The sequence below is a fragment of the Homo sapiens genome, chromosome 8 (assembly GCF_000001405.40).
Source record: "Homo sapiens chromosome 8, GRCh38.p14 Primary Assembly".
NCBI classification, from domain to species: Eukaryota; Metazoa; Chordata; class Mammalia; order Primates; family Hominidae; genus Homo; species Homo sapiens.
In genome coordinates this window covers 38,226,200-38,248,712 of record NC_000008.11, presented here as the reverse complement: position 1 = coordinate 38,248,712, position 22,513 = coordinate 38,226,200, and the positions used below count along the sequence as shown (strand labels likewise).

Sequence of the window (22,513 nt, the reverse complement as noted above, 5' to 3'; positions counted from 1 at the left end):
GGCCTCCCAAAGTGCTGGGATTACAGGCATGAGCCACCACACCCAGCCAGCTATCACTCATTTGATTAGGGAAGCCTTCCTGCACCTTATGAGACCAGGTTAATTCTTACAACACGGTGTACTTTTCCTACTTACTTATTGTAATTGCCATGATGTGTGTGATTATTTAACATGTGTCTTCCCCAGTAAACTATAAACACTATGAGGTCAGGGATCATATGTCTTATTCACCAGTCTATCCAGTACTTGGTATAGTAAGCATTTTCTAAATATCTGTTAAATGAGTGAATGTATCACAAACCAGAAAAAGGCACGACAAAAATGGAAAAAAAAAAAAAAAAACAAATCAGCTGGCTGGGCACGGTGGCTCACACATGTAATCCCAGCACTTTGGGAGGCCAAGGTGGGTGGATCACGGGGTCAGGAATTCCAGACCAGCCTGGCCAAGAGACCAGCTTGGCCAATACAGTGAAACCCCATCTCTACTAAAAATATCAAAATTAGCCAGGCGTGGTGGCGGGCACCTGTAATCCCAGCTACTCGCAAATAACAGTAGAGCTCTTGAAAGTACAACAGAAAATTAGAGTTGGAATAGCTAATGGTTATTTATTTGTTTGTTCTTGCACTCATGTTTTCTATGAGCCGTACTGGTTAGTCTGCTCCATTGCTCTATGAATATCAATATGGCCATCTGACCTTTGAACTTCCACAAAGCAAAGGTCACTTGATATGATAAAAAGCAAATAAATAATGCTAAGGAACATTAATCATAAAGTATTTATGACTAAAAAGTGTCTAAAGGGTAGGCTCTTAGTAAACACGATAAACAAAAATACTGAAAATGGCTTGGCATAAAGTTTTAAAAGATTATTTTTACCAGAGCTTCCTTATCTACTTTCTCCTTCTCAAAGATATCAAAGAATTCAGAGAGCTGAAGTTTCTTCAAATCTTCCTCTAGTGTAGGTGTATCTCCTTGATCCATTACAATATTTAGCGAATCCTAAAAATTAAATTATAAAGCTCATATTCTTGAAATTCATTTAGTTTCCTTTAATACTATTTTGCAGTAAAGAAATACATAGATTTCCACAGCAATGTATCTTAACTTTAACAAATTGTCATTTATGCAAGATATAAATTAAGAGGTTCCAAGGTTTTGCAACTTCAATTGAAAATATGTTTTTAAAGAAATTAGTAAAATATTCATCATCATTAACAAACATTTGCTGAATTTTAAGGGAGCTCAGTGCTTAAGAAATTAGGAAAACAGTGCTTAAGAAATAAAACAGTCTAGGCTGGGCATGGTGGCTCACATCTGTAATCCCAGCACTTTGGGAGGCCGAGGTGGGCGGATCACAAGGTCAGGAGTTCAAGACCAGTCTGACCAACACCCTGTCTCTACTAAAGATACAAAAATTAGCCGGGTACGGTGGCATGCGCCTGTCCCAGCTACTGGGGAGGCTGAAGCAGGAGAATCATTTGAACCCTGCAGGCAGAGGTTGCAGTGAGCCGAGATCATGCCACTGCATTCCAGCCTGGGTGACAGAGCAAGAGACTGTCTCAAAAAAAAAAAAAAAAAGAAAGAAAAAAAAGAAATAGAAATAGAAATAAAATAGTCTAAGACAAAAGCTCTGCTCTGGAGGAACTCATGGTCCAACAGGAGAAATAGGTACCAAATCAATCCTACAGATGATACATGGTTATAGGAATTTTTACTAAAATAATGTTTAAACATCAAGTCCCCAATACTTTCGAACAGAGTTTCTATAAATCATATCAATTTGTAGCCAATTCATTCATTTGTTCATATGCAAACTTCATTTAGCTCAATGATTCCATAACTCTATTAACAGATCAGCAGTGCATATTTTTGAGACGGAGTCTCACTCTGTCACCCAGGCTAGAGTGCAGTGGCACGATCTCAGCTCACTGAACCTCCACCTCCCAGGTTCAAGCGATTCTCTTGCCTCAGCCTCCCAAGTAGCTGGGATTACAGGCACACACCACCATGCCCAGCTAATTTTTGTATTTTTAGTACAGATGGGGTTTCACCATGTTGGCCAAGCTGGTCTTGAACTCCTGACCTAAGGTGATCCACCAGTCTCAGCCTCTCAAAGTGCTGAGATTACAGGCATGAGCCACCGCGCCCAGCCAGTGGTGCATATTCACAAAAGAAAATAAGATAACTATGGTTTAGAATATAACAATTATTATTTGTAGAAGCATGTTACTATCTTCCTTCTATCATCCAAGAATGACAGAGATAATTAAAAGTCTGTTAAAATGAAAATAAGTGTAAATGTAATGTCATGACATGAAACTAAACTCAGCTAAAAACAAAAAATAAGTCTAAAATCTATAAATCCTTACTAAGGAAAACTACAAGAAAACCTAGCTGAACATCTAAATTACCTTTTCACTGTCAATATCCCCCAAAGAATCTTTCTGATTTGTTAGGATATCAAACAATATAAGCGAACCTATAAGTAAAATAGAAGAAGGGACAATTTCTAAGCATTAGCACTAAATGGCTCTCTGTTATACAAAAAAGGCATAAGCCAATTACATATGTAAGCAAATCTATACAGCAAGGAGTCTTTCTTTCCAATTTACCGCCACCCTTCCAACCCCTTCCAAATTTCCTGACCACAGACCACTTCTAGACCTCTGAATTTCATACTGATAAAAGACATTGTGCTTCAAAAACAGGTGTCTTTAAAATGTGATAGTCTTCTCTGGTCACACAGAACTCATTTTGTTACCTAAACTATGACCAGCAATGGATACACCCCCTTTGAAATCAGGGTTCCTCTGTAGAAAAAGTGTGTATATTCGGTTCATTTCAGAAGCAACTGTGTCCACAATAGTCTGACAGTAGGTGGGACTATTGTAGAAGAAGACATCCAGAATTGTGTCATTGGTGAAGTGCCTGAGGCGGTTAATGCTGGGCAGGGTTATTCGCTGCAGATCTCTGAAAAAAGGAAAAATAATATAAGCAGGAAACCTAAATACACTTAATAGCTGCTTCCAATTTTAAGCCTTCAAGCTTAAACATTTTATAACAAACAATTGTCGATTTATAGGAAAAAACAAAAAGAGGACAAAGGAACATGTGTAATGAAGCCAGAGGAATGTGATAAGCAAAATTCAGAGTATAAAAAACCCTCAAGTCAAACCCATTTCTTCCATAAATAAACTGCAAGAAAACAACAGATGTAGACAGAGAGGTAAGTGGTAATCAAGAAAATAAATTAAAGAGACTTTTCTTTTTTTTTTTTTTTGAGACAGACTCTCGCTCTATTGCCCAGGCTGGAGGGCAGTGGCACGATCTCAGCTCACTGTAACCTCTGCCTCCCAGGTTCAAGCGATTCTCCTGCCCCAGCCTCCCAAATAGCTGGAATTGCAGGCATGTGCCACCATGCCCAGCTAATTTTTGTATTTTTAGTAGTGACAGGGTTTTGTCATGTTAGCCAGGCTGGTCTCAAACTCCTGACCTCAGATGATCTACCTGCCTCGGCCTCCCAAAGTGCTGGGATTACAAGCATGAGCCACCATGCCCAGCCCAAGAGAGACTTATAATAAAAGACATATCAACTAATTGCAAGGTATGGGCTTTATTTGGATCCCAGTTTAAAACATGTTTGTAATTATATAAATATGTATACAAAAATTAATGTATATAATTATATAATTAATGTATATAAAAATATGTATAAAATATGTATAAAAATATAATAGACAACTGGAAATTTGAACAGACTAGGTATTTGATGATATTAAGAAATTTTTAAGTGTGATAATAGTGTTATGGTTATACATTTTTTAAGTCCTTTAAAATATACTGTTCAGGGCCAGGAGCGGTGGCTCACGCCTGTAATGCCAGCACTTTGGGAGGCTGAGGCGGGCAGATCACGAGGTCCAAAGTTCGAGACCAGTCTGTCCAACAGAGTGAAACCCCGTCTCTACTAAAAATACAAAAAATTAGCCGGGTGTGGTGATGTGCACCTTTACCCCAGCTACTTGGGAGGCTGAGGCAGGAGAATCACATGAACCCAGGAGGCGGAAGTTGCAGTGAGCCGAAATTGTGCCATTGCACTCCAGCCCAGGCAACAGTGCAAGACTCTGTCTCAAAAAAAACAACAAAAAAAATACTGTTCAGGCCGGCGCAGTGGCTCACACCTGTAATCCCAGCACTTTGGGAGGCTGAGGCGGGCAGATCATGAGGTCAGGAGTCCAGCCTGGCCAATATGGTGAAACCCTGTCTCTACTAAGAAATACGAAAATTAGCTGGGCATTGTGGCGCATGACTGTAGTCCCAGCCACCTGGGAGGCTGAGGCAGGAGAATTGCTGGAACCCAGGAGGCAGAGGTTGCAGTGAGCCGAGACCGTGCCACTGCACTCCAGCCTGGGTGACAGAGCGACACTCCATCTCAAAAATAAAATAAAAAATAAAATATACTGTTCAGGCCAGGCACTGTGGCTCACACCTGTAATCCCAGCACTTTAAGAGGCCAAAGCAGACAGATTGCTTGAGCCCAGGAGTTCAAAACCAGCTTGGCCAACATGGTAAAAGCCCATCTCTACAAAAAATAGAAAAATCAGCTGGATTGGGCCAGGCATGGTGGCTCACGCCTGTAATCCCAGCACTTGGGGAGGCCAAGACGGGCGGATCACCTGAGGTCAAGAGTTCGAGACCAGCCTGACCAACGTGGAGAAACCCTGTCTCTACCAAAAATACAAAATTAGCCAGGCATGGTGGCGCATGCCTGTAATCCCAGCTACTCGGGAGGCCAAGACTGGGAACTGCTTGAACCCGGGAGTCGGAGGTTGCGGTGAGCTGAGATCACGCCACTGCACTCCAGCCTGGACAAGAGCAAAACTCCATCTCAAAAAAAAAAAAAAAAGATAAAAAAAATCAGCTGCAAGTGGTGCCACATGCCTGTAGTCCCAGCAGTACTTGGGAGGCTGGGGCAGGAGGATCATCTGAGCCCAGGGAGGTCCAGGCTGCAGTGAGCTGTGATCACACCACTGCACTCCAACCAAAAAAAAAAGATACAAACTGAAACATTTACAGATGAAATTACAGGATGTCTAAGATAAAAATCATATGGTGATGAAGGGGCATTAGATAAGGTATGAAGATACGGTTGAGGCAGAACCAGCCATGTGTTGAGGCTTGTTAGGGCTGGGTAATCAGTATACAAGGATTCATCATATATACTACTTCTGTGAACAAAATTATCTCTAATAAAAAAAAGTTTTCTAAAAAGACAAAACAAAAAATGTAAAAGGCTTTTCCTGGAATTCTCAGCAGTAAGGTTTTTTAATTACAGGTCAAACGATAAAGAGATCAGCTCCCTCTCTCAATGCACAATTTCTAAAAGCAGAAAAAGGTGTGAGTGCCAGGTGCCAAAAGCAAACAGAATTCATATCTGGGAGAGGAAGACCACGCTGACAAAATCTAACATCCAGTTAAAGGTTTCTTAAAATTCCCAGAAAGATTCCTCAAATATTCAACCACTTCTGCAATTTATAAGGGCTACGTGCCCTTAGTAACCTCTTAGCATCTGCTCAAATATTGAAGAATCCGGACCCCACCACAGTGTTTGGCAAACAGAATATACCCAAATCACAGGGTACTGAGAACTGAGACACAGAATCAGAAAAGCCATTTCTGAGACCAGCATGGAAACAATGCTGACTACTTCCTGCATCTCCTGGTTCTATTCTAGAACTACATTAGAAACACACTACTTGCTGGAGAGCCCCATAGCTAGATATCCTCAATTTAAGCAACATTCTCTGTCATTACCATAAAATTTACAAACAAAACTAATGGTCTTGTACCTTAAGAAAGCCATCACTTAAAAGTCACTGTACCAATTATACCTCAAGTTTTAAATGCTAGTAGTTTAATGTTTGAGAAATCCCCCCTTTTTTCTAAATTTGGACAAATATTATTTAAATATAATAACAAAAGGAACAACAAAATACTTTGTACATCTTGGGGTATGGCTAGCTTTTGACATCTGAAGATGGAAATGGTTATACACTATGGGAAGATAGCAATATTTGGCTTTAATGCTAAAGATACAATGAAGCTGTAACAGTAAATACTAGTGAGCCAGTAAAACATACTGAAGATACACACAGCTCTCCACTCCTAACCAGGGCTAATTAAACCAAGGGACTGATCAGCATTTAATAGCATATCTCTAAGAAATTTTAAATATTCAGTCAGCTATAGCATAAAAACGTCCCCAAGCATAGCAATGATCAGAAAATATAATCACAGCTAACAACTCGAAGGTATTAAGTATTACTCACACATCCACACCAGTAGAATGCAAAGGACTGTGCCAGTTGACTGGAAGAAATTCTACCCTCCCAATCTGCTGATTTTCTTGGGCTTTCTTAAAATGTGTCTGTAGCAAGTTCAAGGAAACACTGCGAAAATCATTAACTGGAAAAGAAAATTAACTTATGCATCAACAATGAAGTAACAAATCTGTAGAATCTGGATGCAACAAATCATGTAATTATACTCTAACTACATTTGCACAGAACACATACTGACTTCCGTCAAAAATAAAGTGGTATTCAGGAAAAATTATGAATGCATATAGGAAAAGATGTTTCTTTAATAACTTTTTTTTTTTGAGATGGAGTACTGCTCTGTAACCCAAGCTGGGGTGCAGTGGCGAGATCTCACCTCACTGCAGCCTCCACCTCACTGGTTTAAGCAATTCTCCTGCCTCAGCCTCTTGAGGATCTGGGATTACAGGCACATACCACCATGCCCAGCTAATTTTTGTATTTTTAGTACAGATGGGGTTTTGTCCTGTTGGCCAGGCTGGTCCTGAACTCCTGACTTTAGGTGATCTGCCTGCCTTGGCCCCCCAAAGTGCTGGGATTACAGGTGTGAGCCACCGTGCCTGGCCTAACAACTTGCTTTTACCATACAAAATATTTCATCAAAAGAAGGCTAACTTCAGGCCAGGAGCAGTGGCTCATGCCTGTAATCCCAGCACTTTGGGGGGCCAAGGCAGGTGGATTTTATGAGGCCAGGAGTTCAAGACCAGCCTGGCCAACATGGCGAAACCCCATCTACTAAAAATACAAAAATTAGCCAGGCATGGTGGTGTGCGCCTGTAATCCCAGCTACTCAGGAGGCTGAGGCAGGATAATCACTTGAACCCGGGAGGCAGAAGTTGCAGTGAGCTGAGTTTACACCACTACACTCCAGCCTGGGCAACAGAGCAAAGCTCTTGTCTCAGGAAAGAAAATAATATATTTAAAAACAAAAAAAAAGGAAAAGGAAAAAAAAAGAAAGCTAAACTTCAAAACGTCGGCATCATGAGAACTGTTTCATTTTTTTTTTAATCACATGACAATATAACAACAGTCTTGCAGTTGAATTCCTACCCTAACTTTCTGGTTCTTATAAACAAGCACCACCCAATACTTTAAAGAAAAAAAAATACACTGTTGTTTGAAATTCATATCACATCAGTCTCAACCTTCCACAATACAATTCTAGTTTATGTTTAGAACCATTAGCCAGTTAGAATAAGACACCCTAATTGGAACAATTAAACTTTGAATACTATCAGGTTTTAGAGGACACCTTTTTTTTTTTTTTTTTTTGAGGTCTCACTCTGTTGCCTAGGCTGGAGTGCAGTGGCCCGATCTCGGCTCACTGCAACCTCTGCCCTCCGAGTTTAAGTGATTCTCTTGCCTCAGCCTCCCGAGTAGCTGGGATTACAGGCGCCTGCCACTGCGCCCGGCTAATTTTTGTATTTTTAGTAGAGACAGCGTTTCACAATCTTGGCCAGGCTGGTCTTGAACTCGTGACCTCATGATCCACCTGCCTTGGCCTCCCAAAGTGCTGGGATTACAGGCGTGAGCCACCGCACCCAGCCTAGAGGACACCTTTCAAAATCTAGTTATACTAATGACTTAAATCCTCCAATTACAATATCAAAGGTTTATCACAGTATGAATTACAAAAATGATTGATGCTTCTGTTATTCATTAAACTCTATCATCTTTATGGTTCCCTGTAAATTTGAAATAGTTAGAAATAGGACCACCACATCATAAAACACAATTTTATAGGGATTAACTGCTTGTTCATTTGAGACTATTACAATAGTTAAGAGTATAAACTATTAGACTCAGGAATTTCCTAGCACTTCAGGTCTAAGCTGAGAAGCTTTACTACCTTGCCACCTGTCTTTAACTCTCCAAATCTTCTTATGCAGCTAAGACAATAGACCAAAGACAAGGCTTTATCTCAGCTCACAAGAGCACTGATTAATATTCTCTCACATGCTTTGCAAACCTACCACACTGTACAATGCTTCGAAAGCGGAGATCACAAGCTGGTCCAATCCCATGGACTACAAAAACCAAGTGATCTATTTGTAAAGGTTCTCCTATAAATGAAATTAAAAAGAAAATTATTCTGTATAATTAGTCATGTATTCTAATATCATTCATCATGAAAAGGTTATAAATATGAGCAAGTTAAAAGATGAACAGATAATTTAAAAGATACAAAATAGTCCTTTAAGTACCTAGCAAAAATACACTGATTTTACTTGGTTTCTAATTTATCTTGAAATAAGTCTGTAAAATTTTTTTCAGGACTTTTTTCTTTTTTTTCTGATCTCTGAAAAAGAAAACTCGGCTGGGCGCGGTGGCTCACGGCTGTAATCCCAGCACTTTGGGAGGCCAAGGCAGGTAGATCATGAGGTCAGGAGTTCGAGACCAGCCTGACCAACACGGTGAAACTTCATCTCTACTAAAAATACAAAATTAGCCGGGTGTGGTGGCACATGCCTGTAATCCCAGCTACTCGCGAGGCTGAGGCAGAAGAATCACTTGAACCCTGGAGGTGGCAGAGGTTGCAGTGAGCCGAGATCACACCACTGCACTCCAGCCTGGGTGACAGAGCAAGACTCTGTCTCCAAAAAAAAAAACTCTTTTTTTTTTTTTTTTAAATTATGGTTTTTTTTTTGTTTGTGACAGAGTCTTGCTCTGTCACCCAGGCTGGAGTGCAGTGGCACGATCTTGGCTCACTGCAACCTCTGCCTCCCGGGTTTAAGCGATTCTCCTGCCTCAGCCTCCCGAGTAGTTGGGACTACACGCACACGCCACCACACCTGGCTAATTTTTTGTAGTTTTAGTAGAGACAGGGTGTTTCACCGTGTTAGCCAGAATGGTCTCGACCTCCTGACCCGCCCGCCTCAGCCTCCCAAAGTGCTGGGATTACAGCCGTGAGCCAACACACTTGGCCTTTTTTCAGGTTTTAAAAACTTTTTTTTTTTTTTTTTTGAGACAGAGTCTCACTCTGTCGCCTAGGCTGGAGTGCAGTGGCATGATAAACACTCATTCCAGCCTCAACCTTCTGGGCTCGAGTGATCCTCCTGCCTCAGCCTCCAAAATAGCTGAGACTACAGATGTGTGCTACCATGCCCAGTTAATTTTTGTATTTTTTGTACAGACAGGGTTTCGCCATATTGCCCAGGCTGGTCTCGAACTCCTGGGCTCAAGTGATCCTTCCACCTTGGCCTCCCCAAGTGCTGGGATTACAGGCATGAGCTACCACGTGCAGCCAGGTTTTTAAAACTTTTTATTTCTAAATAACTAGAAATGTACAGAAAACTAGAAAGCATAGTACAGACACTCCCACATACTTTTTACAGAGATTCAACTTTTTAACAATTACATTTGCTTTATGATTCTCTGTGTGTGTACACACACACACACACACATTTATTTTTCTGAATCATTAGAAAGCAGACTACATACATCATCAGGTTGCATGCACCATACCTCTTTAACCCTTTAATACCATAATGTGTATTTCCTAAGTATATTATCTTACATAACCATAATACAGTTATTGAATCCAGGCAACTGAACATTGATAAAATACTTTTATCTAGTATTTCATTTTTATCAATGTTTGGTATGTTTTTAAAGCCTGAAATTTTAAACTCATCTTTTTAAATTACAGTAAAGCTAGGATTTTGTCCAAGAGACAAGAAAAAAGGAATATTATAATCCAATTAAATATATTATAAAACCATAAGTGACCCTACCTAGATAGCAGTGCATAATCAGGTCCTGCTGAAAAACAGTTTTCCTTAGTTGAAAATCTTCAAGGACAAGGAGTTATTACCAGGTATAAATTTCTAGTCAAGTAGGTGGAATCACACTTCTTGGAATTAGGACTAAATCAGTTCATCTGTACTTAGTGACTTCCTGGATAGTATTGCCAAATTTTACCCATCCTACCATATGTTTTAAAAGATATTTTTACATCTATTAAGATTCTTAGTAGACGAAGTGATGCTAATCTCAACTTGGAATAAACCCATATGATTAAAGATGATTTTTAAGCCTTGAGGTAATCTAAATCCACAGAAAAAGGTCACAATTTAAGGAGTAAACAAATACATCCAAAGGTAAGAAAAAATAAACGATTAACATTACCACAATGAATGTCAACAGAGATGTTCTCAACTCCTCTCTTCACAGTTCTTGGTCGACCCTGCTCCGTGGGTGTTGAACCCCAATCATCAGACCCTGCAACTGGCTGGTAATGCACCATAAGCTTAAACAGAACAGATCAGAGCAATAAAAATATTCTGCAATACAATCATCTCTATACAATGCAGTTTTAAGTGTAGAATCATGTCTTTCAAACCACACAGTAAAATCTGAACTGGAGTTTTGATATACAACTCGTATGGCTTGAAATGAGAACCGTGAAAATATATTAGGCTAACAGATCTGTCAATAGTCCCTTTCTACATGGAAGACATGCTCACATAATATGTCAGTGATTTTCTTATTCTACAGTGGCATAATTTTCCATAAGAAAATTATTTTGTATAAGCTGAGTTGGGTAAATAACAGTAGTGGCTACAAGTTTTTAAGTTTCATAACTGTGAATTCAATATAAAATTTGACAAAGGTTATCCTACACAGAGTGCTTAGCAAAAGAAACCAATTGAGTTCTCCCTAATAGCGCAATTAACTTTTTATCCCGACAAGAGAAATGCTTTGTTTTACCTTTGGATTGTGTAAAATAATAATTTCTCTGTTGGGAGATTCCAGTTTCTTTTTCCATTCATCCAAAGTTACAGCAAGCATGTAAGTTTCCTTAAAAGAAAACACATTTCATTAGAGTTCTCTAGTAGCTTTCCTATTAAACTGAACCTATTAACAAGAATACTATGTATTAATGAGTTTCAATAAGAATATCCTACTCCAATTTATCAAATTTATTTTTAAATCTTTTTGTTGTTGTTGTTGTTTGTTTTGTTTTGTTTGTCTTACTCTGTCGCCCAGGCTGGGTTGCAGTGGCACAATCTCGGCTCACTGCAACCTCCGCCCCCCAGGTTCAAGCAGTTCTCTTGCCTCAGTCTCCCAAGTAGCTGGGATTACAGGCACCCGCCACCACATTCGGCTAACTTTTGTAGTTTTAGTAGATACGGGGTTTGGCCATAATGGCTAGGCTGGTCTCAAACTCCTGACCTCAGGTGATCTGCCTGCCTCGGCCTCCCAAAGTGCTGGGATTACAAGCATGAGCCACAGCACCCAGCCTATTTTTAAATTATTTTGAAATTACAACTGATAGTAGCACCAGGACAAAGGGGGAAAAATACTCCTAATTCCATCATCTACGCTAGATAATTAGTGTTCACATTTTAATATATTAATATTAATGTTCTAGACCAGGCGTGGTGGCTCATGCCTGTAATCACAATACTTTGGGAGGCCAAGGCAGGAAGATCACCTGAGGTCTGGCATTCGAGACCAGCCTGGCCAACACGGCAAAACCCCATTTTTACTAAAAATACAAAAATTAGCCAGTGTGAGCCGGGCGCGGTGGCTCACGCCTATAATCCCAGCACTTTGGAAGGCCAAGGCGGGTGGATCACCTGAGGTTGGGAGTTCGAGACCAGCCTGACCAACATGAAGAAATCCCATCCCATCTCTACTACAAATACAAAATTAGCCAGGCATTGTGGCACATGCCTGTAATCCCAGCTACTCGGGAGGCTGAGGCAGGAGAATCGCTTGAACCCAGGAGGCAGAGGTTGCGGTGAGCTGAGATCGCGCCACTACACTACAGCCTGGGAAACAAGAGTGGAACTCCGTCTCAAAAAAAAAAAATTAGCCAGTGTGGTGAGGCACGCTTGTAATCCCAGCTACTTAGGAGGGTGAGGCAGGAAAAGTGCTTGAACCCAGGATGCAGAGGTTGCAGTGAGCCGAGATCGCACCACTGGACTCCAGCCTGGGCAACAGAGTGAGACTCTGTCTCAAAAACAAAAACAAAAACAAAAACAAAAAAAGCAAAAAAAAAAAACCAAAAACAAGAAAAAGGCTGGGCGTGGTGGCTCACGCCTGTAATCCCAGCACTTTGGGAGGCCGAGGCGGGCGGATCACGAGGTCAGGAGCTTGAGACCATCCTGGCTAACACGGTGAAACCCCGTCTCTACTAAAAATACAAAAAATTAGCTGGGCGTGGTGGCGGGCGCCTGTAGTCCCAGCTACTTGGGAGGCTGAGACAGGAGAATGGCAAGAACCCAGGAGGCAGAGCTTGCAATGAGCCAAGATCGTGCCACTGCACTCCAGCCTGGGAAACAGAACGACACTCTTGTTTCAACAACAACAAAAAATACTAACGCTCTACTCCAATTTAAAGAAAAATTTCAGTTTTCAGAGCAAGAAAAATAAAAGCTAAAAAAGATCAATCCTGTGACCATAGCATAATACAGTTTGCATTTGTATTTGTGTGTGTGTGTGTGTGTGTGTGTGTGCGCGTGTACTTTTTTTTGTAGTGGTGGGGTCTTGCTTTGTTGCCCAGGCTGTTCTCAAATTCCTGGGCTCAAGTCATCCTCCTGCCTTGGCCTCACAATGTGCTGGGATTACAGGTGAGAGCCACTGTGCCCACCAGTTTTTTTTTTTTTTTTTGAGATGGAGTTTTGCTCGTTGCCCAGGCTGTAGTTCAATGGTGCGATCTCCACTCACCACAACCTCCACCTCCCGGGTTCAAGCAATTCTCTTGCCTCAGCCTCCCAAGTAGCTGGGATTACAGGCGTGCACCACCGTGCCCAGCTAATTTTGTATTTTTAGTAGAGACGAGGTTTCTCCATGTTGGTCAGGCTGGTCTCAAACTCCCAACCTCAGGTGATCCGCCCACCTCAGCCCCCCAAACTGCTGGGATTACAGGCGTGAGCCACCAGGCCCGGAGTATTTTTTTCTTTTTTTACACCTTAAAACACCACAACCATTTCCATCGTATTTTAAAATCTGAAAAAGGCCAAGCACAGTAGCTCACACCTGTAATCCCAGCACTTTGGGAGGCCGAGGCCAGCAGATCATTTGAGGTCAGGAGTTCGAGACAAGCCTAGCCAACATGGTGAAACCCCATCTCTAATAAAAATCAGTAGGAACAACTCTCCCATTACAATATTTTCCTTTCAAGGATTGAAAAGGGGAAAAGAAGTACATATTTCAAAATAAATCTCCCAACATACAATTCTGAGTTATATTCTAAATAATGTTATGAAACACATGAATGAACAGTTCCTACTTGGCTAAACACCAAACAAAATGGAATCTAATTCATATCTTTTTCACTACCTACTTTACAAACCGTCAAACCATTCCTGATTTTAATGAAACATGAAAAAAAATACTACCCAAACAGTTTTGTTCTTTTTCTGAGGAAAGATAGCAGTGCCCCTTAAAAAAAATTAGCCAGGTGTGGTGGCGGCCACCTGTAATCCCAGCTACTTGGGAGGCTGAGGCATGAGAATCACTTGAACCGGGGAGGTGGAGGTTGCAGTGAGCCAAGATCGCACCACTGCACTCCAGCCTGGGCAACAGAGCGAGACTCCGTCTCAAAAAAAAAAAAAAAATCTGAAAATAAGACTACTTTATCCTGAAACTTGCTTGTAAATAGAAATGCTTTATTATGTTTTATAATGTGATGCAGACAGAACCAAAGTCTTTCTGGAAATTTCACAAAATAAATTACAAAGGAAAGAAAAGATTATTAAATAAGAGAAAGAAAGAATAAGTAAAAAAAGAGTCAAAAGAATACCTCTAAAACTTGGCTGAAGCTCTCCGAGTAGGGAACATACTTATTGTCTTTGTCCCCCTTGTAAAACCACGTACATCGTCTCACTTCCGATGCCAGTTCATCCCAGTATACAGCATACCGCATCCTCTCCCCCAAATGAACATCATATCTGCCCCCATCAGTAGGAACAACTCTCCCATTACAACCTTTTCCTTTCAAGGATTGAAAAGGGGAAAAGAAGTACATATTTCAAAATAAATCTCCCAACATACAATTCTCAGTTATACTCTAAATAATGTTATGAAACACATGAATGAAAAGTTCCTACTTGACTAAACACCAAACAAAATGGAATTTAATTCATATCTTTTTCACTACCTACTTTACAAACCGTCAAAACCATTCCTGATTTTAATGAAATATGAAAAAAATACTACCCAGTTTTGTTCTTTTTCTGGGGAAAGATAGCAGTGCCCCTTAAAAAAATTATATAATGTGATTTTTCTGAATTTGCTTGAGGAACCATAAGGTAAATTAATAACCATCATGATGATTCAGTATAAATAGAATCATTCTTGTTTTATAAAAGAAGAAAAGACAAGTGACAAGTTAGAGAGTTCATTCTTCTGCACCCCACTCTATACATACTTTTTTCTTTTCTTTTCTTTTTTTTTTTTTGAGACAAGTCTCACTCTATCACCCAGGCTGGAGTCCAGTGGCACAATCTTGGCTCACTGTAACCTCCGCCTCCCGGGTTTGAGCAATTCTCCTGCCTCAGCCTCCCAGGTAGCTGAGACTACAGGCACAAACCCCGCCGCCCAGCTAATTTTTGTATTTTTAGTAGAGAAGGGGTTTCACCATTGCTGGCCAGGCTAATCTCAAACTCTGACCTCAAGTGATCTGCTCGCCTTGGCCTCCCAAAGTGCTGGGATTACAGGTGTGAGCCACTGTGCCCAGCCTTACACATTCTTTATAAAACAAAGTAAAACATAAGCTAGAACATTAAAGATATTACTGGGGGGCTGGGCACAGGGTGTAACACGCCTGTAATCCCAGCACTTTGGGAGGCCCAGTCAGAAAGATTGCTTGAACCTAGGAGTTCAAGACCAGCCTAGACAATATAATTAGGCCCCCAACTCTAAGGAAAAAAAAATTATTGGGTAACTATGCAGAAATAATAATAGATACTGTTTTCAAAATACAGACCAAATTCTTGAATATTATTGATTGGCTAGGTATTAGTGCAGAAGTTCTATATAAAATGCTGTAAGAAATTATGTAACTGGAAAAATCTAAAATTTGGTTTTCATAGCACTCACTATAAGGACCATTATATTATAGTTTGAAGAGGGGAGAGTCTTTGTCTATTCCAAGTCATAATTTTCACCTACCAGAGCTATATGCCTCTTCCAGCTGCTGTGAATCCTCAGAGTTGAAAGGAATCCATGTCTCCTTAGAATCTATTATCTTACAATAAAACCAATGGGGAGAAACTGGTTCATACAAGCTGCCAGCATCCATGTCTATTAGCTCAAAGGAACTACATGAGTTTGGTGACGGAGATGGATCTGACTGGGACAACTGCTCCTGTTGTGACTGCACTGATGACATTTCGCTCTCTAAAGACAAAAGAAAACTATCAGGAAAACGAACTTAACTGTGTAACTGTTCGCACACACACACGCACAAAACTAATCATTTTACGGAGCCATTTCTGCAACAACAACAACAACAAAATCTACATAATTTAAAAGAGAAATAACATAAATTAGCAACTGGATGGGTGGAAGCTTTAAATAAAATGCTTCTATTAGATCAACCATTGCACAGAGTTCTCAATTCTCTCAGTAAACTGGGTAATTTTACTCAGTCCATAAGTTATAAAACAAACCCAGAATCACAGGACCACATGCTCGAAACTAGATTGCAACAAAAACATTTTACCCTAATTTCCAATCTAAATGTAGTTAAAGGCAGAAAATTTACTCCAAGTCAGCTGGGTCATGCCCTGTCCTAGTAACGCCAAGGTTTTGGGCTCCAGGCCCCTACCATTACACAACTAATGGAATCTTAAAATACAAAAAATAAAACTGTTCGCTTAGGAACCAATCATTTTTGATGGATCCTTGAAGTCGCTTAATGGGTGGTGGTACAAATTGGGAAAAGACGAAACCTCGCCTGGGGCCACGGTGCGCACACGCACGCCCACTCCCATAGCCAGAATCTCAGATGAAAGCTAACAAGCGACCTCAAAAGCCTCCTCCCGCAGAGGCGGCTCTGACCAGCTGTTTCTACCTCTCCAACACTCCTTCCACTCGGCAACGATCAGCGCCGCAGGCACCAGAAGGACACTTCTAAGCTGCCTCGTAGGGCGGGGGGCAGGAGGGCATCTCGCGCGGGCCCGGCGGGACGGCAGACGCCGGCTTTCGGCTCCATTGTCCTTTTCCCCACACAGACTTACCTCAGCCACCCTGGCGCGCCCCTGGCCCCCGCGACCCTAGGCCCTGGCGCCCCGCTCCGGGCCCTCGGAGCTCGGGCTCAGGTCGTCCGCCCGCAGCCCCGCGACAGCAGCAGGGCAGCCAGTGCAGACCACAGGGTTCACAGGGTGCCCAGGGTTCCCCCAGGCTCGGGGCTTCCCGGGAGCCGAGGTTCCCCCGCCCCGCATCCCGGCCCCGCAGCGCTGCGCCGCCCACCTGCACCCAGCCTGGCCTCCCTCGGTCCAGCCGCCCGCCCGACGCGGTCTCACCTGGCGGCCCCGCCACTCCTCAGGCTCTCCTGCCCTCCCTGAGGAGGACACTGCATGGCCCGGCCGCGGCCTTTACCCCAGCCCGGGCGGGGCGCGGCGGAGCAGGGCGGAACCTGCAGCCCCGCCGGGCTCGCGCCGAACACCAGGCGCCACGGCGCTCCCAGTGGGCGAGTAGCGGGCCCGGATGCCAGGCGAAAAGGTGAGGCGGCGGGGAGCGCGGCGCGCGACCGCGGGTGGGGCGTGCAGGGCCGCAGGGCACGGGCGGCAAGTGTCGCGAGAGGTGGGGGGAGTCGCGCGAGACGTGGCTCCTGCGGGCAGGGAGCTGCAGCGCCGGGCGGCGGGCTGCTGGCTGCTGAGGTCTAACAGTGGGGGAGAGTTTCGAGTGTCCGTGGCGGAAGGGGCTTCGAGATCAGTTTCTAGTATCCGTGACGGCAGGGGCTTCAAGATCAGTTTCGAGTGTCCGTGGCGGAAGAGGCTTCAAGGCGGCCCCTCACGTACGGGGCGGGAAAGTCGGAATGATCCTCGGGATACGCTACAGACCCTACTAGTGCGCCAGGAGCAGCGCGGTGATCACCGGACGCAGGGACTGCGCGGCCCCGGGATTAGCGGAGTAGGGCGGAGGGCGCAGCCACAGCCGCCCCGCTCCTGGCCTCTGCTTCTGGGTGCTGAGAACGGGTGTCACTAGCATTTGCCAGGCAAAAAGGCTTTGGCCCGTCCTCCGTGCATTTATTATGATTTAGAGGTTACCAAAAAGGTATCCCTAAAAAATGTAGAGGTGTCGGGCGTGGTGTCAGCGCCTGGGTCTGAGCTACTCAGGAGGCTGAGGCTGAAGGAGCGCCCCAGCCCATTGGTGCCAGCTGCATGAGCCCAGATGGCGCCAGTGCACTCCAGCCTGGGTAACACTGCGACACTAGTCTCTAAACAAACAATAAAATTAATAATTTTTTTTTGTTTTGTTTTGTAGAGGCAACCTTAACAGGATTTAAAAGATGCCAGGGAGGTTGGAGATGAGATACTGCTGTCCAAACAGGAAGACATAACTGAGGTGAAAAGTTGAAAGGGGCTGGACGCAGTGGCTCACGCTTGTAATCCCAACACTTTGGGAGGCCAGGAGTTCAAGACCAGCCTGGCCAACATGGTGAAACGGCATCTCTACTAAAAATATAAAAATTAGCCGGGGGTGGTGGCTCGCGCCTGTAATTCCAGCTGCTTGGGAGGCTGAGGTGGGAGGATCACTTGAACCCGGGAGGCGGAGGTTGCAGTGAGCCAAGATCGCAGCCACTGCACTCCAGCCTGGGCAACAGAGGGAGACTCCATCTCAAAAAAAGAAAAAAAGAGAAATTTCCCGCAGTCATGAGGTCGAGTACAGGCCCTGCCCGACTCTCCTTAGTATTTCATTTTAATACCTTTTGGTATTTAAAAAGATATTTTCCTATATTCTAACTAGATTATAGGGCATTTTTTTTCAGTTTTTGTGTTTTTGTTTTTTGTTTTTTGTTTTTGAGACGGAGTCTCACTATGTCACCCGGCTGGAGTGCAGTAGCACGATCTCGGCTCACTGCAACCTCCGCCTCCCAGATTCAAGCGATTCTCCTGCCTCAGCCTCCGGAATAGCTGGGATTATAGGCATGCGCCACCGCGCCCAGCTAATTTTTGTATTTTTACTAGAGACGGGGTTTCACCATGTTGGCCAGGATGGTCTCGATCTCTTGACCTCGTGATCCACCCGCCTCGGCCTCCCAAAGTGCTGGGATTACAGGCGTGAGCCACCTTGCCCGGCCTATTTCAGTTTTGTTATTTCTTCACAAACAGAAAAAGAAAACAATTTTTTATAACACATTTATTCTCTTTGCAAATTAACAGCCACACACAAATATCCCCAAGTTAACACCTTCCCTTCAAATTTATTACACTTAGAATAGCTTCTGCAAGGCCGGGCACAGCGGCTCACGCCTGTTAATCTCAGCACTTTGGGAGGCCCAGGCAGGCCGATTTAGCAAGGGGTGGAGCTAAAATCACGAACCCACACAGTGTGACTTCAGAGCCTGCACCTAAGTAACTTGTCTAAAATCAGTCAGGTAAGTGACAGAACTGGAACTTGAATTTAGGTTTTCTATCTTCAAATCCTGTTGTAGCCTCCATACCAGCTGTTCTCAAATTTGGAGGGCTGTCTCAAAAAAAAAGTGGATTGCAATGTGCAGTTTGAAAATATATCAGTAAACTTCACATATTCTGATACTATTAAAATCCATTTTTCTGTCTTGCACTTTGTTTTATTTTTGTTGTTTTGAGTAAAGTGAAAGCAAGTTTATTAAGAAAGTAAAGGAATAAAAGAATGGCTACTCCATAGGCAAAGCAGCCTATCTTGCACTTTGAATGGATCTCTTACCCATGTGTGACTTAAGACATGTATTGTTCATTTGGGAAAGTATCAGTTCACTGAGCTATGTAGATCTTCCAAATGTTAATATATTTTATTATACAATTTTTTAAAAATTACCGATCTCATCAGAAAAGTCTTTAATATTGGGAAGCTGTCAAGCTCAGAGTAGCAGGTACAAGTTTTCCAATATTCTGCTTTTTTCTTAAAAGGTCAAATTTTATCATTGGCAACAAATGATAAATTGTCTTCCTTGAAGTGACAAGTCTCCTTTGTTTTCAAATAAATTTCTGCTAAATACTTACATACAAATAGCCATAGTTTGTCCCTTATACTTTCAAATAAAAATGATGTTGCATGAAAAAAGAGCATCTAGTTCAGCTTCCAATTCAAATAGTCACTCAAGTTCTTTTTCTTCAAGACACCACCATCTTACTTTTGGTATGCAACAAAATGGTTTTATGGGCCACAGTGACTCATGCTGTAATCAAGCACTTTGGGAGGCTGAGGCTGGCGGATTGCATGAGTCCAGAAGTTTGAGACCATCCTGAGCAACATGACGAAACCCACCTCTAAAAAAAAAAAAAAAAATTAGCTGAGCATGGTGGCACAGACCTATAGTCCCAACTACTCAGATGGCTGAGGCGGGAGAATGGCTTGAGCCCAGGAAGGGGAGGTTGCAGTGAGCCGTAATCACTATATCTGGTTAATTTTTAAATTTTTCTTAGAGACAGGGTCTCACTACATTGCCCAGTCTGGTCTTGAACTCTAGGCTCAAGTGATCCTCCCACTTCGGCCTCCTAAAGTGCCCAGCAGGAATCTGCATTTTAAATAGTTACCACACATGATCTGGATGCAAGTATTTGGGATCCACACAGTATAAATTTTAGGTTCCCCAAAAGTCTGCATACATAGGTAGTTTCAGACAAATAGAATATCTTACTGTGCCCCTTAAAAATAAAAACCCATGGCCGGGCGCGGTGGCTCATGCCTGTAAAAACTTTGGGAGGCTGAGGCGGGTGGATCACGAAGTCAGGAGATCGAGACCATCCTGGCTAACACGGTGAAACCCTGTTTCTGCTAAAAATACAAAAAATTAGCCAGGCTTGGTGGTGGGCTCCTGTAGTCCCAGCTACTCAAGAGGCTGAGGCAGGAGAATGGTGTGAACCCGGGAGGCGGAGCTTGCAGTGGCTGAGATCTTGCCACTGCACTGCAGCCTGGGCGACAGAGCGAGACTCTGTCTTAAATAATAAATAATAAAAACACACTTAATGTTACTGGCTGTTGTTTGTGGTTGTATATCAGCCTTTTACCAGACAAGCCTTAACAGGTAAAATGTAAAACAATCTCTACTTTTTCCCTTTCAATGTTCTAGTGCAAGAGGCAGCGAACTTTTTTTCTGTAAAGGGCCAGATAAATTCTTTAGGTTCTGTAGGCCATAAGGCTCTGTCACAACTAATCACTTCTCCTGTTGCAGCACTAAAGCAACCAGAGAGGAGATGTAAACTGATGAGTGTGGCTGTGTCCCAGTAAAGTGCAGGCAGGGGTTTAATTTGATCTCAGGTAGTAGCTTGCTGACCCCATGCTCCTAGTGCAGAAGATAACGCTAATGGCCAGTAAGTTGTTTAAAGAGCAAAACCAAGAATGTAGGGGTCATAAACAACTGGATCTTATATCCAAAGCTGGAATCATTGTTTTTAGAGGCAGAAGTCCTCAATCCCAGATTAACACCTAGGCATCCAGAGTGAAGAAAACTTCACAGTTGTCTCTGACGCTGACTATACAATAACAAGACCAGGGCTTTGGGCTCTGACAGTGATTTTCAAACTTTCACCACTCACTGCAGCTTCGACCTCCCAGGCTCAGATGATCCTCCTACCTCAGCCTTCCAAGTAGCTGAGATCACAGGTGTGCACCACCACATCCTGCGAATTTTTTTATTTGTAGAGACAGGGTCTTACTATGTTGCCCAGGCTGGTCTCAAACTCCTGGGCTCAAGCGATCCTCCCACTTTGGCCTCCCAAAGTGCTGGGATTACAGGCATGAGCCACCACACCCAGGCCTAAGTAGGTTCTTAAAATGTAGATTTTCAGATCCAACATGATCTGAAATGTAGATTCAGAAACATAGATTAAAACGTAGATTTTCAGAATCCAACAAGATTCTGATTTGACTAGAACACTTAATCAGAGGGGTCCATATTGTGATGGTTAATTTTAGGTGTCAGCTTGACTAGATTAAGGAATACCTAGAGAACTGGTAAAACATTACTTCTGGGTGTGTCTGTGATGTGTCTGTGAGGGTGTTTCCAGAAGAGATTGGCATGTGAGGTGGTGAACAAACCTCTTTGAGGGGGCAGAAGGTGTGAAGATAAATTTGTGTCCCATGTGAATGCTCACCAAAGGGTGACCTCAGCAGAAGAGAACTTTAATAACCAAGTAGATAGGATGACCTATTCTGTGGATACTAGTCAGCCTCTGGCCCCTGCCACCCCTGTCATTGCCCAGTCACCCCTGTCATTGCTCATGAAGAAATTGGCCATGGTAGCAGGCATAAATGTTTTTGCATGGCTCAGCAACATGGACTCCCACTCACCAAGGCTGACCTGGCTGTGGCTACCTCTGAGTGCTCAATCTGACAGCAATAGAGACCAGCACTGAGCCCCTGATTGTGGCACCATTACCTGGGGTGATCAGCCAGCCACCTGGTGGCAGGCTGATTACACTGGATGGCTTCCATCAGGGAAGGGGCAATGTTTTGCTCTTACTAGAATAGACACTGGATAGGATTTGCATTCCCTGCCCATAATGCTTCAGCCAAAACCATCATCCCTAGATTTACAGAAAGCCTTATCCACTGTCATAGTGTTCCATACAGCAGTGCTCTGACCCAGCAGTGCTCTGACTCACTTCACAGCCAAGAAAGTGTGAAAATGGGCTCATGCTCATGGAATTCACTGGTCTTACCATGTTGCCCACCATCCTGAAGCAGCTGGCTTGACAGAGTGGTGAAATGGTCTTTTGAAATCACAGTTACAGCACCAGCTAGGTGGTAATACTTAGCCGGACTGGGACAACCTATAGGTGCTCTGAATCGGCATCCAATATATGGAACTGTTTCTCCCATAGCCAGGATTCATACATCCAGGAATCAAGGGGCAGAAATGGGAGTGGCAGCACTCACCATTATCCCTAGTGACCCACTAGCAAAATTTTTGCTGCCTATTCCCAAGATTTTATGCTCTGCTGGCCTAAAGGTCTTAGTTCCACAGGGAGGAATG

The 22,513-nt window shown here is 43.0% G+C and overlaps 1 protein-coding gene across 19 annotated transcripts in view, besides 4 other annotated features; it reads right to left on the bottom strand.

Moving 5' to 3' along the window:
• The window catches only part of DDHD2 (DDHD domain containing 2), a 42,063-nt gene extending 24,935 nt beyond the window's left edge, over window positions 1-17,128 (bottom strand). For 9 of the 19 annotated variants that reach the window (XR_007060723.1, XR_007060724.1, XR_001745504.3 and 6 more), the window contains exons 1-10: window positions 16,854-17,128; window positions 15,499-15,726; window positions 14,129-14,319; window positions 11,086-11,175; window positions 10,504-10,624; window positions 8,349-8,438; window positions 6,328-6,463; window positions 2,763-2,971; window positions 2,413-2,480; window positions 878-1,000 (exon numbers count right to left, since the gene is read on the bottom strand). Coding sequence is in view for 12 of the 19 variants with exons in the window: in XM_011544456.3 (XP_011542758.1) it covers window positions 878-1,000; window positions 2,413-2,480; window positions 2,763-2,971; window positions 6,328-6,463; window positions 8,349-8,438; window positions 10,504-10,624; window positions 11,086-11,175; window positions 14,129-14,319; window positions 15,499-15,718 (1,248 nt within the window). In the remaining 7 variants the exon portion in view is untranslated. Of the gene's footprint in view, window positions 1-877; window positions 1,001-2,412; window positions 2,481-2,762; window positions 2,972-6,327; window positions 6,464-8,348; window positions 8,439-9,620; window positions 10,625-11,085; window positions 11,176-14,128; window positions 14,320-15,498; window positions 15,727-16,568; window positions 16,761-16,800 lie in introns of those variants that run through there. The other 10 variants (XR_007060726.1, NM_001362913.2, XM_047421616.1 and 7 more) reach the window with 6 other exon arrangements.
• Window positions 16,327-16,826: an enhancer, noted in NCBI's record as "H3K27ac hESC enhancer chr8:38089405-38089904 (GRCh37/hg19 assembly coordinates)". NCBI's record gives its function as "activates a minimal SCP1, AML or CMV promoter by ChIP-STARR-seq in naive H9 embryonic stem cells {active_cell/tissue: H9 hESC(naive)}" and the evidence as "EXISTENCE:reporter gene assay evidence [ECO:0000049][PMID:30033119]".
• Window positions 16,327-17,155: a biological region, named in NCBI's record as "H3K27ac hESC enhancer GRCh37_chr8:38089405-38089904".
• Window positions 16,486-17,155: a silencer, noted in NCBI's record as "silent region_19118". NCBI's record gives its function as "represses an Ori minimal core promoter by ATAC-STARR-seq in GM12878 lymphoblastoid cells {active_cell/tissue: GM12878}" and the evidence as "EXISTENCE:reporter gene assay evidence [ECO:0000049][PMID:35858748]".
• Window positions 17,726-17,775: a silencer, noted in NCBI's record as "silent region_19117". NCBI's record gives its function as "represses an Ori minimal core promoter by ATAC-STARR-seq in GM12878 lymphoblastoid cells {active_cell/tissue: GM12878}" and the evidence as "EXISTENCE:reporter gene assay evidence [ECO:0000049][PMID:35858748]".